Consider the following 15,697-nt stretch of genomic DNA (forward strand, 5'->3'; position numbering starts at 1 on the left):
GAGGCAGGGATAGAAATTCTGACTGCACTTGCCCCCGGAGCCCCAGGTCAGAACAGACCTGGTCTCCCACTCTCAGGTCACAGGGGCCACTTTGTATGATTTCTGGAAGCAGAAGTGCAGATGGTCTAGGGAAGTGCCAGGCAGATGCCTCGGGCTCCCTGCCCGACCCCTCCTACTGCCTTTCCTCACTCTGAGGTCATTTCTCTGCTGGACCTCTTTCTCCTCCAACCAGCCCAGCACTCTCCTGGGGTCCCTGAGCCTCTGACCCTGCCAGCATTGTCCAGCACCTTCTTGGTTATGACGGGGAGTTTAGGCAGACAGCCCAGAGCCCTAGGGGCCAGACTGGAGACACGGAGGACTAATGGGTCCCAGTGCCCTGCCACAGGGCCCCGGGCCCACAGCAGCATTTGAAAGCTTACTAAAACCCTCCTTCAGGTCGCCCACCTTCTCAGTCAGGCCTTCCCTGGTCACTTTATCTGAAGTAGGCATTTTTAATTTTAATTAATTTTTTTGAGACAAGGTCTTGCTCTGTCACCCAGGTTGGAGTGCAGTGGCATGATCATAGCTCACTGCAGCCTGGACCTCCCGGGCTCAAGTGATCCTCCTGTCTCAGCCTCCTGAGTAGCTGGGACAACAGGTGAGCGCCACCATGCCCGGCTATTTCTTTTTTTCCCTTCCTTCTTTTCCTTCCCTCCCTTCCTTCCTTCCTTTCCTTTCTTTTCTTTCTTTCCTTTCTTTCTTTTTTTTTTTTTTCAAGCTTTTACTATGTGCCCAGGCTGGTCTTGAACTCCTGGGCTCAAGTGATCCTCCTGCCTTGGCCTCCCAAAGTGTTGGGATTACAGTCGTAAACCACTACACCTGGAAGGCATTTTTAACTTGGCTCCGTAGAGTTGAATGAGCCTGAGAACTAGGGTAGGAAAAAATTACAATTGTATTGTCCCTAACCTCTAACTGAAATTTAGCATCACTCTCAAGTACGAGCGTAGGCAACAAACCACAGAGGTATTATCAGCCGTACCTGTGACCTTGTCACCAACAGACGTCACAGATACTTACATATCACATTACAGTTGCTGCAGATTGCTCTAAATATCTTTTATGCTCATCACAACTTCAAAACCATGGTTGTCATTAGGCCCAATGCTAGATCTTATTTAATACATTGAATAAAGCAGCACATTTACCACAATTTTTAAAGTATTTTGCTATGTTTTAATAGAAATGGTTTCTATTGTAATACTTTGTATTTGATTTTATACCTTAAAAATATCATTGTTCTGAGAAAGGTGTGCGGGCTTCACCAGCTATCAGAGGGGCCCACAGGGCAAAAAAAAAAAAAAAAAAAAAAAAAGCGCTAAGCAGCTCAACCTGAAGTATCACAGGCCCTACCACTCCCTTTCTCTATTCCCTGCACCTGCTGGAATTTTCTCACAATGCATATGCTTTTAATAATCCATCTACTCATTTTGTCTCCTTCTACTAGATTATAACCTCCCCAGGGGCCCAAGTTTTTGTCTTGTTCATGCAGTGTCTCCAGCCCCTAGGACGGCATCCGGCACAGAGTAGGTGCTCAACAACATTTGTTAAATAAATTAAGGGCAGAGATAATGGCTCCCATTTTGCACACAGGTACTAACGTCCCGCTCCTGAGAAGTGAGAAGCCCCCACCCATACCAGGTAGCAAACCACATGCCACCCCTGAGGTCACCAGCACTCCTCGGCCGCTTCCACCAGCTTCCACGCCTGTCACCACCCCTCCCAGGTACAAAGGAGAGGAGTGTGGGGCCTAAGAGGAGGAGTGAGAGGGAGGGGCAGGAGTCCTGGACCTCGGGAGACAGGGAGCCTGGGGAGCAGGGGTGGGAGAAAGCTGTCTCCCTGAGTGCCCCTCAGCTACCCCGGCCCTGCCCAGCTCTCTCTCTGCCTGGCAGTGGCAAACCCATCCATCCCTCTCTCTCAGCCTCTAGATATAACTCTGTGCAGGAGTCCCAGGCAAACCTGCAATCCATCAGGAGCCCAGGAAGTGTAAACCCAGGCTCTCTGAGGGCTGGCCCTGGTTGCAGGGGAGAAGTCTTGGTCTGGGAAATGGGTTTCCTTTAGGGCTCCAGAAACTCCTCCAGGACCCATCATCAACCAGCCGGGGTGGCAGCAGGGCCTCAGGCAAGTCCTTGAGCATTCTCTGCCTGGGTTCCTATGTGTATAAGGTCCCCGCCCCACCCACAGGAGCTGCATGGGTGGGGGGAGGGGACGTGTCTCAGTCTCAGGGGACCTCGGGGTTTTCTCAGCTTCAGCCAAGAAGCCATTCATCTCTCCCCCAACCAGCGGTTCCCCTCAGCCTGCACCGGCACACTGCACCCCGAATCTCTGTCGACACACAGTTGCTTTTTAACCAGTTGATCACAGCTCGAGAGCTCATGTGCTTTTCATTTTCACTTAGGCCAGTGGCCGCCTGCTAGAGGGGCATTTTTGGGATTTGTGGTGGCGTGTGGTCAACATAGTGTTGGGGTGGCACTGCCAGCGTTAGGGGTGGGGTGCGTGTATGTGGTGGGGGATGCCAGCACCCAACGCTGCCCAGGGTGGTGAAGATTCAATTCTTCCTGGGAGGGAAAAACTTGCTTATAAAAGTTCTCTGGCTGGTCGCAGTGGCTCATGCCTGTAATCCCAACACTTTGAGAGGCTGAGGCAGGAGGATCGCTTGAGTCCAGGAGTTCAAGACCAGCCTGAGCAACACAGTGAACAACACCCCCATCTCTACAACAAATAATTTTAAAAAATCAGCTGAGCATGGTGGCGCATGCCTATAGTCCCAGCTATTGAGGTGGGAGGACTGCTTGAGACCAGGAGGTTGAGACTGCAGTGATCGCACCACTGCACCCTGGCCTGGGCGACAGAGCGAGACCTTGTCCCAAAAAAAAGTAAAAGAAAAAAAAATTATCTGAGTCATGAACCTAACTCAGTTTTACATAAAACAAGGGTTTTTTTTGTACTTTTAATATCTACTGAATTTTCCAGAAGGAAAGACAGTTCTTTTTTTTTTTTTAATTTTGTTCAGCGCTTTGCCAACAGGTGTTGACAACTTCAGAAAGTCATGGTATTGGCAGCAAGGCCAGGTTCAGATTGAGCCCTGCCACCCTGCCTGTTCCCTCTGCTGTGGGCTTCTGCATGGAGGGCATTCGTCCACCTCATGGAGTCCTGTGGCCCCAACGTTTACATATTCAAATCAGTGTTTTATTATAAATTACTTTCCCTTTTTTTCTCCATCATAGCTATGGAATAACATAGTTTGCAACTGCATGTAAATAGGTAGGTTTCATTATTTATACATTTCAACGTAGAATAGTAAGGCTTGATATAAAATATGTATTGTAAGAAAGGCTCCTCGTGTCTGGCAGGGCAGGGACCTCAGCCCTAATCACTGCAGGAGACAGCAATGACCTGGTTTTCCTCCCTTCCTTTTCTTGGTTCACACCTTCAGCCCTGTTGTTAAGAGCTCTGTGGTGTTACTGGGTGCGTGTCTTTCATGGAAAGCCATCTTCCTGGAATTCAGACAGAATGTAGAACTAAAAATTGAGGCAACAAGCAGAGGTTTCCATCAGACTTCTTAGTTCTGGCAGAAGTCAAGAGACCCAGGCAAGGGTTCTGGGTCCCAACCCCCAGTCTTAACTCCCAAAGTGTCCCATCTCCTAAAGTGGCCCAGATTGTCACTGTCAACCACTGACTGTTCTCTCAGGTGGGAATTTCCCAGTCAGCAGGATGGGCACTGCAGATGTGTGTCTGCATGCCAGCGGACCCGGCACCCTCCTTCCTCCCTGCCAACCGCCTCCACCTCTCCCACTCAGCAGTTCACACCTTCTGGGTTTCCCCCACCCCCGCCCAAACCACACAGTAATCAGAGAATCAGTGGCTGTCACCGCTCAAAGGGACCTCAAAGTCCTCCTCCAGTCCCAGGCATTTGAAGTAACAAAATCTCTAACATGTATCCAGCTCTCAATATGCGCCAGCTGATACACTTGTGTCAATTTCCCTAACCTTCCCAAAATCTCATGAGGTAGGTACCATTATCATCCCCATCTCACAGATGAGGAAACTGAGGCACAGAGTGGTTAAGTCATTTGCCCAATGTCATCCAGCAAGTCATTAGCAGAGCTGGGACTCAAACGCAGGGTGGCTGATACTAGAATGCAGGCTCTCAAAGACCTCGAGCCTCTGAAGGCTGAACGCCTTAGCCACAGTTCCTCAGACATCGGAACTCCTCCTCAGATCACTTCCTGCCTCCCAGGACCACTGAGACTGGTTATGGACCTCTGAGAGGAGATGGATGAGAGAATGGTTTATAAACTCAGCCTCTTGCATCTCCCAGAGCCACAGTCCCAGCCTCGGCCATTCCTGCTACAAGGACAAGCTCCCAACCAACGCCTTGGAAACCCATTTCCCTCCCTGCAGGCCTGGGGAGGGGGGCTCAAGGTCTGTGGGCATGAAAACCCCTAAAAAAATCATTCTCAGTGTGCAGAATGGCCAGACAAGGTCTCGGTAACTCAGAAAATCGTCGTCTCTTCTCTTTCTCTCGCTTCCCAGGAGAGAGAGTGGGAAGGGAGAATCAAGTTCCTGATGCCTTGCTGGGCTCCCAGATCGACAGCACCTTCTGCCCGCCTCGCAACAGGCAGCAGCTATAGTGCTCCTGACACATACCTGGGCTAGCAGACCTGGCCACTGCCCCGCAGTCAGCAGAGCTCATCAGCCTTGTCTGCCACCGACCAAGGACCAGTGACTGTCCTCTCAGGGTTGGGATTAAGTCGCAAAGGGTTTGAGAGATTGGGGATGACAAAAGGGACTTGGAGACTAATTAGGAGCAGCAATGAAAGCTTAATTCATAAAAGCAAACATTTTCCATCCATCAACCTGCAACCAGTTAAGGGCACCGTTTGAAAGAAATCTGTGTGTGGGGAAGGGAGCCAACAGGAACAGGAAATGTTTGAAAGAATGTAAACTATTTCAGTTTCATAAAAAGTAACAAGTAAACAGTTATTACATGCAAATAATGTCCTGGTTTTAATTAATGCTGAAAAGTCAAAATATGGCTGACATTTGTATGTATACATCGAACGGCTGGAAAGGAAAAAATGGTGCCCAGATGCCTGTTTCAGAGCGGGGCTGGCAGCTCAGAGGGAACTAGAACCTTGAGAAGGTCCTGTTTATTGGTGATGAAAAGCACGGTTCTGCTTCAGCCACTTCAGCCTGCTGTGGAGTTGGGGAGCAGAGGGAACCCAGCTTACTTCTTAACAAAGCTAGAGGCGGGCCTGGTGCTTGGGAAGGGCGACTCCCACTTCAGCCACTTCTCGTAGGCAGGCTGGTCTTAAAGGGCCAGTGGACCCTCAGGCCTCCGTTCCACAGGGGCAGGGTTTCCAGGACTTTCCCATCCAGGAGTTAAGTGATGATGGGTTTCAGGTCCCAGAAGCCTCCCATTCAACAGCCCCCCACCCCCGTCCCGCCTTCCTTCTGCTGCTCAAGGTCGGTCAGACAGGCAGGGTGGCACACCCGCCTTGACTCTGGGGCAGGAGATGGCAGCCTTCGAGCTGTGCTTTCCAACATTCAGCTGCGTTAGCTTCCGTTCTAGACCACCTAGGGCTCAAAGGCGCTGGGAAACTGGGTCTGGGAGACCACAGCTGGAGAGACAGCCTCAGAGTGTGGGGGATATTCTGCCCCCTATGGAGAGAGTGGCTGGGGTGCTTGGGCCCCACAGATCAGGGACTTGTCCTGCAACCGCCTTGCTGAAAGACCTATAAGCTCCCTTTTTGAGCTTGTTAATCCACCATCTCCTGCCAGCATTTTTTGTGAGACCAGGTGTGCTTAACCGGGAAAGAGGGGGTGGCATGAACGGTTTCAGGAGTTGGTAAACCCTAGAAACTGGGAGAAAATTGTCTTTTTCTGGCAAGAGACCATAACTTTCCTCACCTCCTCAAAGCGATCTGTAATATCCTACAGGATTACAAATTGCTGTTTTTAGACAGAGCTGCATCTGGAGACCTGTTTTTCGGGATTCTAAGGCCCCTCTTTCAACCTCCTTCCCTGCTGCCCCTGCCATTGCCAATGCTGAAATGGCGAGGCCTCCCTTCCACTTACCTCGCCCACTGCGGCCCACGAAGCGAAGGTCGTTGAACCTGGCCACCTGGTTCTTCATGACGGCCGAGGCATTGCGCAGCTCAGCGGAGTAGTTCTCGTCATTGCCTGCCATCACAGTCACCACCGTACCATCCGGCACGTCCCCCAATGCCACCACCTGAAGACACGGGGCGGGGGGATGCAGGGGGACAGCTTAGAAAGGAAGAGGGTGACCAGGGAAAGGAGGGGAGGGGCTGGGCTGGGCAGCTCCCCCAGGTCCCAGGCACACTGAGTATTTCTCCAATGCAGGGTGGAGAAGAGGCTTAAAAACAATAAAGACCTTCCCCCAAATATCACGAAAACAAGAAGATGGAATCTCGAGCTTCCACACCAAAATCCTAGATCAACTGCTTACATAAACTGTGTCCCAAGAAATCATCCTTTCAATGAAATCTAAGCCAGAGCTGTGAATCAGCTCAGTCACTATGATGTGGGGTGCAGTTCCCCTGTTGTCTTCGGCTGCAGCGAAAGAGGAATCAACATGCTCCTAGCAACGAAGTCTCCAAATGAGAAAGAGTAACAACAATAATAACAACAGGGCTGCTACCCCCACTCAATTTATGCAAGAGCTGTTTAGGGCATGAAATTTGGCCCTGAAATGTGGACCAGGCCCAGTTTATTGGCCTCTGCAGAGCCTAAATTCGTTATGCAGAGAAAATGCAGAATGCAAAACTCACTGGTGTTTTGAAAAAGGCCACCAGAAAACCCCTTTAAAGTGAGAGTGGGGCTTTTGATAATGGAAGGATGCACCTGCCGGGAATTGCAGGATGGGGGTGGCGATGTCCCCCTAAACACCATCTCCCCCAAATCCCCCACCCCCAGGAGCACGGAGAGGCGGATGCCTTTTGAAAAAGAATCAGACTTTAAACAGAGTCACAACTATTTAAACGTGGCCGCCGCGTGCAGGGACTGGGGATCCATATGGTAAAAATTTCAAGGAGAAAATGTTTGGGATCTGATTAAGAAGACCAGATTTCCTGTCAACATCCTGTCTTCTTTTAATTTCAAAGACTCCTTTTAAGCTCCAAGTGACAGTAAAACCTCCGATCTGACGATTAAAGTCACACGGGCCTCCCGCCCCTCCCGGCGAGATTTCCCCCACTGGTATTTTAAGATGTCACCCGGGAGACCTCAAAGAGCCACTCTTCCTTTTTTTCCCATTTAGAGTCGTCTTAATGGGAGCAGGGACGGCCTCAGCTTCCAGCCACCTCGGGCAGCACCACCCCCAGCCGCCGGCCCTTCCTGCCCTGCCCTTTTCTCACGGCAGCTGTGAGAGGTTTAGGGGAAAACCGAGGCGTTTTCGTTTCATCTCGCTGCCCCCTTAAAAAAATGAAAATGAAACAGTCGCCTACTCCCTGGCATAAAGAAAAAGGTCCTCTAAATGGCTGGGGGCTGCCAGGGTTAGGGGTCCCCCAATCTCAACTCGCCATTCGGGACGCATAATATCCCCGAGCAAACGTCTGGAGAGCAGTGCCCCGATCCCGGCCTAGCGCCGTCCGGTAAAATTTCGGAAGCCCGAGGGTGTGAGCAGGAAGCTTTTGCGAAGCGGCGCGGGAGGAGGGGTGCTGGAGGCGGAGGGTAGGCCCTTTCACCGTTCGCACCCCACCCGCGGTGTCCTTGCCCCTGTCCCGGGATCCTCTTCTCCGTTACCCGCAGGGCTGTATCTGAGCGATCCGGGTTAGGGGGGCGCAAAACCCCATCCGCCCATTTCCGCACCAACGTCTCTACGCAAGGCGCCCCAAAACCCAGGTGGAGCGGGGCAACCCCGTTAAAAGTCATTCCTGCAGGGCGCATCCAAAACGGAACGCCGAGGTCCCGGAGCCGAGCGCGCAGCCAGACTGAACCGGGTGCCCGGGTGTCGCCGCGGCGTCTCGGGCACCTCCCATCCCCACTGCTCCCGAGGCTCTGGCTCCCGCAGCTCAGACGCCCGGAGCCCCAGGGCCGGCGCCCTCCCGCCCCGGGTCCCGCACTCACCTTGAAGGCGACGGGCAGCGTCTTGTTGCAGCGCCAGTGCGAGGGCAGCACGGAGCAGAGGAAGTTGGGGCTGTCGGTGCGCACGAGCTCGCCTGCGTGGTCCGCCAGCACGTCCACCATCGAGCGCACCTCGGGCCGGGCGCGCCCTCCGGGCCCCACGGCCGCCTGCGCGCTCAGCGCGCCGCTGTTCTCGCCCATCTTGCCGCCGCCGCCGCCGCAGGGGAAGGCCGGGGAGGGAGGTGTGAAGCGGCGGCTGGTGCTTGGGTCTACGGGAATACGCATAACAGCGGCCGTCAGGGCGCCGGGCAGGCGGAGACGGCGCGGCTTCCCCCGGGGGCGGCCGGCGCGGGCGCCTCCTCGGCCGCCGCTGCCGCGAGAAGCGGGAAAGCAGAAGCGGCGGGGCCCGGGCCTCAGGGCGCAGGGGGCGGCGCCCGGCCACTACTCGCCAGGGCCCGCCCGCTGCGAGGCCTCGCTGGCCCGACGGCCGCCCGCAGCCTGCCCGGCTAGTCCCGCATCCTCGGCGCGCGGCCCCGCGTGCGGCCGCCCCTCGTGGCTGTCCCGGCTGCCTGGGCCGCGGCGGGGCCCGCGCGGGGCTGTGCCGCTGCCGCCGCCTCCCGCCCCGAAGCTCGCCCGCGGCCGCCCCGACTCCGCGGCCGCAGCCCCAGAACAAATCCTCCAGAATCAAGTGGCGGGGCCGCGGCCGCCCGCGCGGGGTTAGTACCCCCGGGGCCCGCGGGGCGGGGCTGGCGGAGCGACGCGTCGCACAGCCAATCGGCGGAGCCCCCATCGCGGGCACCTCGGTGGCGTTCGCGGGGAGGAACGGGGCCTGCCGGAGGCCGCCCAACGGGGAGGGGCGGAAGGCGCCACCCCGCGGAGGAGGCCCCAGTGCCACAGCCCAGGGCCCCCGAGAGCTCTGGGAGCCCGGGGCAAATGCTAGAAATTTGCTTAGAACGTCCGGGTCCCACGGAAGGCGCCCTTGCCGCCCTCTCTCGGGTCGTAGCTCCCTGACGCTGGGGCGCAACCCCTTCGCTCCTCCTCCCCGCTGGCCGCGGCCGGGCTTCCCCAGCTCTTGCTGCTTCGGGCCTGTGACTTCTGCAACCCCGGGCTGGGGGCCGCGGGGTCTCAGGGCCGGTGACGCCGCACTGGGAGCCGCCCCAAAGAGGTTACTCACCTCCCTCGTCCCGCACATTATTCTGACCCAAGAGCCTCCACCCCACACGGGATTTTGCGCGTCGTCCACGCCCGGCCGGCGGCCTTTGCTGCTCCCAGCCCTGCGCGGCTTTGGTCCCAGCCTCGGTGGCCCCTGTGCCAAACCGGGGACAGGCGGAAGGGAGTCTCCTAGGGACCCTAAGTAGCCTGGGGCCAACAACCCCTTTCCTCTCTGCTCTCCCCTCAAAACAAGTTTCAGGATCTTGCAGGCCTCGCGGCGTCGTTCTTCGTTGTGGCGGCCTGTGGCTCTTTGAAAAACACGACGAGGCCTGCAAAATGCGTTTTTCTTTTTTTCCTTTACGCATGTAACCACGGTCCTGCATCGTGAAACGGTACGCGCGTCGGTGGCAAAAGAAAAACAGCAGTGGCTGCAAAGCTAAGGGCCCTCGCTTTCAGAGGAGAGAATTTTCTTTCTCCATGCGGGTGGAAAGTGGCCTCTGCGGGTCCAACCCCACTTCTTCTTGGGCCCGTGCGCTCCGGCTGCGCCGCAGGGACCGCGGACAGCTTCGCCAAGGCACTGCCTGCCCGCCCGGCTCCGGGTCCCCGCTCCCACTCCCAGCCGCGTGGCCCAACCTCTCCTGGGCTTCACTGCAAATCACCCCTTCCTCTCCCGCCTCCTAAGTCTGTCGAGCAGACCTAGGGGCCGGCTACAGTTGGGAGGGCAACGGGAAAGATCAAGCCACAATCATTCCGAATTATCGCCCCAGACACCTCCCTAGACTCTGGGGAACGAACGCGTGCTGAGCCTCCCCGCCGCTTTGGAGACGGGGCTAGATTTTCGTTGCCTCCGGCTCTCGACAGGTGCAAAACAATGAATTCCAAGCCTCGGAAGCAAAGAAGCTTAGGATCCGACGGTGGCCGCAAGATCTCATCATGGATCTGACCCCTGCTCAGCGCGCGCCATTTCGTCGTTGCCAAACGAAATCAAGCCCCGCGTGCGCTCCAGGGGCGAAGGACTCTGGACTCACCCCGACCACCGGGAGAGCTGGCCCCTACCCACCTCGGGACCTCACAGCACGCCCTCAGGCCGTGTCGAAAGGAAGGACGGCAAAGGTCCCTTACTGAACCTTTTAAGAGAGCCTGCGCCTGGCAGTTGTCGATTGCGGACCCAGGCCCGCGCGCCCTCGGACGCGCTGGCACGAGCAGCAGAACTAGAGGAAAGCGAGTGATCCAGCCTGGGCGCTCCCACCTCCGGGAACGTCTCCGAGAAGGCGCAGCGCGTCGTGGCCAGGTAGGGCCCTGGCCGGGGGCGGGCAACACGTGCTGCCCTCGAGCAGGTTGCGGGACCATGACCCGCTGTTTCAGGTGGTGGTAAATTCCATTTGTCGAATGGTTTCGGTTTGCACCGTGCCCTTTGCTTGTTCCTCCGCCTGATTTCTCCCTCTCCGCTTACGATGGGTTCACAGACAAGTTTCCAGAGAATGAGGGACTCTTGTGGGCCCTGGCACCTGGCGCAGGGCCCGGCACGGCTCCGGCTCTCCGTAGGGCGCTGGCTCCCCGTGGGCACCAGATCCAAGGGACCAGGGCGGCGGGGGGAGGGGGGGCGGGTGCAGGCCCTTGGGTCCCCAGACCAAGGTCGCGGGGCCGCCTGGCAGGCACAGTGGCGGGAGCCGCCGCTAGTTGGCGCCCGCGCCCTGCCAGCCGCGGAGGTGCGGGCCCGGCCGGGCTACAGATGCGCGCCAGCTGCGGCCCCGGGTGCAGGCGCGGCGACCGCCCCCGAGGAGCTGCCCTTTCCTTGCCATCCATGCGGCCAGGTCTCAGACAAACCGATGGCTTTGTGTCAAACCAAGGCCGCCTTCCTCACCTCTGATAAGATGGACGCCTTCTGTCTTCGCGTTTTCAGGCACCCGGGGAAGACCCACAGAACAGGCTAGCTTGTTCCCAATTTCCACCTGCTTCCTCCCCATCCCGGACCGACAAAAATTGTCGTCTGTTTGATGGGAGGGAGAACTCCGACTCCCCCACCTGGGGCATGCAGACACCCTCGCCCTTCCCCAGTTGGCATGGACCGTCGTCTTTTCTCCCTCTTCCATCAGATCGATGGACAAACAGGCCAGTTTCTCCCCAGTGGCCCCCACCTAAGAGCACCCTAAGTTGTCCACAGCAGGGCTAGGAAGCAGAAGGTCAGGACACTCCCCTACCCTACCTTGACTTAGAGCTGGGTAAACCCAGAACCCATCCCCGGGCAAATAGAGCCAGCTCCTTTGCCCCAGGAAGGGGATTCGTCTCCCTCTGGCATTTAGGAGTGCTCTCTAAGTGCGTTCTTGGCAGTGAGGGTGCCGCCTTCCCAGGGCAGGTGTGATTCATGTGGACTCTGTGGCGCCTGGGCAGGGATCCCCAGGTATACCAGACAAGGGGCAGGTGTGCCCTGGGAAACCGCCTAAGAGGTCCATGGGCTATGGAAGGAGCTGGGGTCCACAGTCCCTCTGCCTGAGCGTGTCTTTTTCCCTCACCCACAGCGCTCTAGGGAAAGTTGCCTAAACCTCTCTGAGCCTCATTTCTTTCATTTGTAAAGTGGGGCACTCATAGTGGCCCTTCATAGAATTGTGTGTAAAGTGCTTAGCACAGGCCTGGCACATGGAGGGTGCTCCAGCCTCCGGGAGCCATCACTGTCATGAAAAAATAAGACCTCTCAATCCTTGCTGGGGGCCTTTGACCCACCCCTCCTCTCTCTGGGCCTCACACTTCCATCTGTGAAATGTCCAGTTCTCATATTCAAAGCTTACTAGGACTCCAAGCCAGTCCATGCTGTCCTGATCCCTCAATTCGCCCACAGGCTGCCTGGGGGAGGTAAGGACTGGCTGTGACCTACCTCCACGTGGAGTCAGCTCATAGCGGGGTTTCCAGCAACCATCACAGGGCGGCCAGAGCTGGGTCTCGATGATTGCCTGTCTGACCATTCCTCTCAGAACCTCACTTTCGCCCCCAGCCGGCCGCCCTCCTGTGGGCAGACCCTTTCCTGAGTAGCAACTGGGCCTCAGCGGACACTGCCAGGGACCCCGTTTCCTTCCCAGGAGGCCTCTGTTCCCCATATCCCGAATCACACAGGAGCCTAGTCCAGCGAAGAGAGCAGAGGACTCTCTTCTAGAACTGAAAATTTCTCCCAGCCTGGCCCTAAATCCCCTGTCCAGAGGGACCCGTGGTGAAACCTATCTCCTGCCCAGTGCCCTAGAACTCAAAGGGGACATTCATGCCCCTCACTGAGCCTCAATTTCCTCTTCTGTCAATGGAGGTCATTCTAACCACTCCATTTCACGGGAGGGGGATTAAGGATTCCCTCTAGGAGGGGAGGGGCATCATTGTGATTGATGATCGATTGTTTGAAGAAACAGAAAGAAAATGCTGCTGAGTAAACTAGGACTCATCTGCATCCTGATTTCAGATAATGATCTCTGAATATATAAGCGAGAAATGTTAATGAAAAATGGCAATATATCTGGGTTGAGGGGTTGTCTCCTGTAGGCCGGGGGTCCAGCTCCAGAGAGTCCAGCTCTGGGGTCATCTATCCTGGGCAGCCTCTCTGGAAGGATTCAGAATGTGTGGGAGCACAAATGTGCTTCTCAAATTACAGAGATCTTTCTTCCTTTTTGGAAAGTTCCAGACTTGGAGGGGAGGGAGAAGGAGCAAGGGAGAGCAGGGTGGTGAGGGTGTTAGGACCCAGATGCTGCCTGTGCGGTCTGAGACTTTTGCCTGGTGTCCACGCTCCCCTGAGCCTTGGTCCCCGAGGGTAAAATGGGAAGAACAGTAACAGCTGGGGGTGCTGAGGCTTTACCTTGTGCCAGGCGCCGCACATGGGCATTGCTCATGGTATTCAATCCCCACGGCGTCATATGTGGTAGGTGTTATGCCCATGTAAGCAAAGAGGAACGTTGTCCGAGGTCAGCCAGGCTAGAGAGGGCCAGACCCGGGTTAAAAGTCTGCTCTGGTTCAAAATGTGGGGCATGAACGCATCACCTGGCCAAGCATGTCAGCACTCTCCTCCTAGTGGCTGAGTAATGGGAAGAGCTAGCATCTAGATACAGAGGAAAGAGCTATTGTGATGGGGAGAGGGAGCTGGGTTTGGTAAATCCTGCTAAGCAGCCCTGGGCTTGGAAATCAGTAAACTCTTCAAATCTGCAGGGAGTCAGGAAGGACTTGCCAGGGTCATTCGGGAGGGTCCTGTGATAGTCAAGGTGCACCCACCACCTGCTCTCCTTTGGCCTCAGAACCAGTCTGCGAGGAGGCAGGACTGGCAGTAGTCCCCAGTTTACAGATGGGAACACTGAGGCCCAGAAAGGGGAAAGGGCGTGATCAGGATCTGGAATGAGCTCCAGCAAGGCCAGGAGCAAGCACCTCGAGGCAAAACGCAGTTGGACAGGACCTTTGCCTTGCAGGAGACTGCAGCCCAGTCCTGGGCCTCATACACTAGCACCCTGATGCCACATTCAGTGCCTCTCGCCCAGGGGAAGTGCTAATCAGACGTGTTTCCCTCTGGGCCTCAGTGTTTGCATCTGAATGCGGGGGTGCACTTTCAAGGCCCCTCTACATGCCATGCGGGTTCCATAGGACCCCAGGGTTTGGTTGTGACCCGAGGCCCCTCCTCCCCACCCACCTCCTCTCCACCTCCCGCGGGGCGCCAGCTCCCTTGCGTCCACATGACCTCGGATCCTTCCACGCCCATCCCCACCCTGTTCTGCAGGTGGGTGGTCAGAGGGTGCTCTGCTTTGAGGATGGGAGAGAGAAAGGGAGGCAAGGACGGAGAAAAGAGACTTCTTTTGCGGGAGCGCAGAGCAGAAAAACCGTCTCCATCGGTTACCAGGGAAGGGGTTTCTGGTTTCAGATCCCATCACTTGGTGGGGCCTTCCTACCACCCTCCCTGCTACTCGCTCTTGTCATCTGTAAATCAGGGAAATACTTCTGGAAGACAGTTATCTGGTCTGTGACTTTGATCATTGGTCTATGACTAATAATTGCCCTAATTTTTTGAACACCTGCCGCATGCTGGGAGTTTTCCGCCAATTGTCGCTCACCCTCAGGTGCCTCTGAAGGGCAGAGATTTTATTCTTTCCATTTCACAGATGGGGAAACCCAAGCTCCGAAAGTAAAGAGCTTTTCCTCTGTGGGCCTCAGAATCTGAGAAGTTCAAACAGGTTCTCAGGAGCCCTTCCAGCACCCCACTCCTCGATCAGGGAGGGGCTGTCTGCACTCTGACCGCTGCTCTCAGCGCAGAGCTCTCCATCCAAAGCAGCAGGTGCGTGCAGAGCTACCTGCCAGCAGAGCCATCAAACACGGACTCTTCTACTGGGAGCCATGGAGTGGTGAGAGAGACCTGGGCAGCTTGGAGCCAAGGGGGCTTCTGGGAAACATGTGCCCTTCCCCCAGGGTGGGGTTCAGCTCTGGCGGGCAGGGAGAGAAAGGGCTCTTCTGAGTGGCTGTTGCTTTACACACATTTTTGCTTCACAGTATTCTTAGGGAGTAGCGACAGTTATCACTCCCATTTTACAGGAAAGAAAACTGAGGCTTAGAGAGCTCAAGTAACTTGTCCAAGTTGGCACCACTGGGAAACCACAGGGGTAGGATTCCAACGAGGCAGCCTGGCCCCAGAGCCCATGTTGCTGCCCACTACACTCTACTCTTGTGGACTAAAACCAGATGCTCAGAGTTACAGTCATGGAATAGAATTAGAATCCTGGCAGAAGAACTGTGGGCAGGATTCGGAATTTTACAATGTCAGACTCGAAAGGGCTCTGAGATATCAAATCCAAATCCCCATTTCTCAAATGACAGAACTGAGGCCTAGGAAGGAAGAGTCTCACTCAAGGTCACAGCCAGTGCCAGGGACAGAGTCTGCACCCCCTGCCTCTCCAGCTACCTCCCGCTGACTCCGCACCTTCCTCTCTCGCAGGCCCTCCTCTCCCCACTGCCCACCCAGCAGCTTCTGGGCCCAGCCAGGCCCATTAGGGATTTTCCACCTCCCCAAAAAGGTCCTGATGACTGTCAGTCCTTGTGAAGCCTTAATTAATCTCAGAGGCCGATGGCTCGGAGGAGACTGGGGGCTTTGGCCTTACGCAGATGAAGATTGCGGCTCTATTTCATGTGGTGGTGAAAGAACGCCTCAGACATTCCTGCCAGCAATAAAAGCCACATGGCTTTCCAGCATCGCCCTTGGAAAAGAAAAAAAAGTGCAGCCCTTTGCGGAAATAAATCAACTATGTGCTGTACGCATGGCATGAGATACAAATGGGCATACGGAGGTGGGCAACAGTCGGTCTTTTATGCCGCCTCTGATGTCCACTGACAGTGGCAGGGCCAGCGGTCATGGTCCCAGCTGCAATCCTGGGGAGAGGGAGTGACCCCCAGTGTGGTGGGGGAAGCCTCA

General features: G+C 55.8%; 1 protein-coding gene and 1 long non-coding RNA gene across 9 annotated transcripts in view, besides 10 other annotated features; one reads left to right on the plus strand and one right to left on the minus strand.

Moving 5' to 3' along the window:
- The window catches only part of RUNX3 (RUNX family transcription factor 3), a 65,628-nt gene that overhangs the window by 21,946 nt on the left and 27,985 nt on the right, over window positions 1-15,697 (minus strand). For 5 of the 6 annotated variants that reach the window (XM_005246024.5, XM_047433131.1, NM_001320672.1 and 2 more), the window contains 2 exons: window positions 8,131-8,396; window positions 6,118-6,274 (listed from right to left, as the gene is read on the minus strand). In XM_005246024.5, coding sequence (XP_005246081.1) covers window positions 6,118-6,274; window positions 8,131-8,396 — 423 coding nt within the window. Of the gene's footprint in view, window positions 1-6,117; window positions 6,275-8,130; window positions 8,821-15,697 lie in introns of those variants that run through there. The other variant, NM_004350.3, reaches the window with a different exon arrangement.
- Window positions 5,345-5,614: an enhancer, noted in NCBI's record as "active region_412". NCBI's record gives its function as "activates an Ori minimal core promoter by ATAC-STARR-seq in GM12878 lymphoblastoid cells {active_cell/tissue: GM12878}" and the evidence as "EXISTENCE:reporter gene assay evidence [ECO:0000049][PMID:35858748]".
- Window positions 7,026-7,760: an enhancer, noted in NCBI's record as "H3K4me1 hESC enhancer chr1:25254973-25255707 (GRCh37/hg19 assembly coordinates)". NCBI's record gives its function as "activates a minimal SCP1, AML or CMV promoter by ChIP-STARR-seq in naive H9 embryonic stem cells {active_cell/tissue: H9 hESC(naive)}" and the evidence as "EXISTENCE:reporter gene assay evidence [ECO:0000049][PMID:30033119]".
- Window positions 7,409-7,588: an enhancer, noted in NCBI's record as "active region_413". NCBI's record gives its function as "activates an Ori minimal core promoter by ATAC-STARR-seq in GM12878 lymphoblastoid cells {active_cell/tissue: GM12878}" and the evidence as "EXISTENCE:reporter gene assay evidence [ECO:0000049][PMID:35858748]".
- Window positions 7,761-8,494: an enhancer, noted in NCBI's record as "H3K4me1 hESC enhancer chr1:25255708-25256441 (GRCh37/hg19 assembly coordinates)". NCBI's record gives its function as "activates a minimal SCP1, AML or CMV promoter by ChIP-STARR-seq in naive H9 embryonic stem cells {active_cell/tissue: H9 hESC(naive)}" and the evidence as "EXISTENCE:reporter gene assay evidence [ECO:0000049][PMID:30033119]".
- Window positions 7,761-8,498: a biological region, named in NCBI's record as "H3K4me1 hESC enhancer GRCh37_chr1:25255708-25256441".
- Window positions 8,059-8,498: a silencer, noted in NCBI's record as "silent region_442". NCBI's record gives its function as "represses an Ori minimal core promoter by ATAC-STARR-seq in GM12878 lymphoblastoid cells {active_cell/tissue: GM12878}" and the evidence as "EXISTENCE:reporter gene assay evidence [ECO:0000049][PMID:35858748]".
- Window positions 8,699-9,168: a silencer, noted in NCBI's record as "silent region_443". NCBI's record gives its function as "represses an Ori minimal core promoter by ATAC-STARR-seq in GM12878 lymphoblastoid cells {active_cell/tissue: GM12878}" and the evidence as "EXISTENCE:reporter gene assay evidence [ECO:0000049][PMID:35858748]".
- The window catches only part of RUNX3-AS1 (RUNX3 antisense RNA 1), a 34,252-nt gene continuing 27,555 nt past the window's right edge, over window positions 9,001-15,697 (plus strand). For all 3 annotated transcript variants that reach the window (NR_183339.1, NR_183341.1, NR_183340.1), the window contains exon 1: window positions 9,001-10,570. This is a non-coding gene — a long non-coding RNA (RUNX3 antisense RNA 1). The remainder of the gene's footprint in view (window positions 10,571-15,697) is intronic.
- Window positions 9,934-10,523: an enhancer, noted in NCBI's record as "H3K27ac-H3K4me1 hESC enhancer chr1:25257881-25258470 (GRCh37/hg19 assembly coordinates)". NCBI's record gives its function as "activates a minimal SCP1, AML or CMV promoter by ChIP-STARR-seq in naive H9 embryonic stem cells {active_cell/tissue: H9 hESC(naive)}" and the evidence as "EXISTENCE:reporter gene assay evidence [ECO:0000049][PMID:30033119]".
- Window positions 10,839-11,058: a silencer, noted in NCBI's record as "silent region_444". NCBI's record gives its function as "represses an Ori minimal core promoter by ATAC-STARR-seq in GM12878 lymphoblastoid cells {active_cell/tissue: GM12878}" and the evidence as "EXISTENCE:reporter gene assay evidence [ECO:0000049][PMID:35858748]".
- Window positions 13,858-13,927: a silencer, noted in NCBI's record as "silent region_445". NCBI's record gives its function as "represses an Ori minimal core promoter by ATAC-STARR-seq in GM12878 lymphoblastoid cells {active_cell/tissue: GM12878}" and the evidence as "EXISTENCE:reporter gene assay evidence [ECO:0000049][PMID:35858748]".

The sequence above is a fragment of the Homo sapiens genome, chromosome 1 (assembly GCF_000001405.40).
Source record: "Homo sapiens chromosome 1, GRCh38.p14 Primary Assembly".
In the NCBI taxonomy this organism is placed as follows: Eukaryota; Metazoa; Chordata; class Mammalia; order Primates; family Hominidae; genus Homo; species Homo sapiens.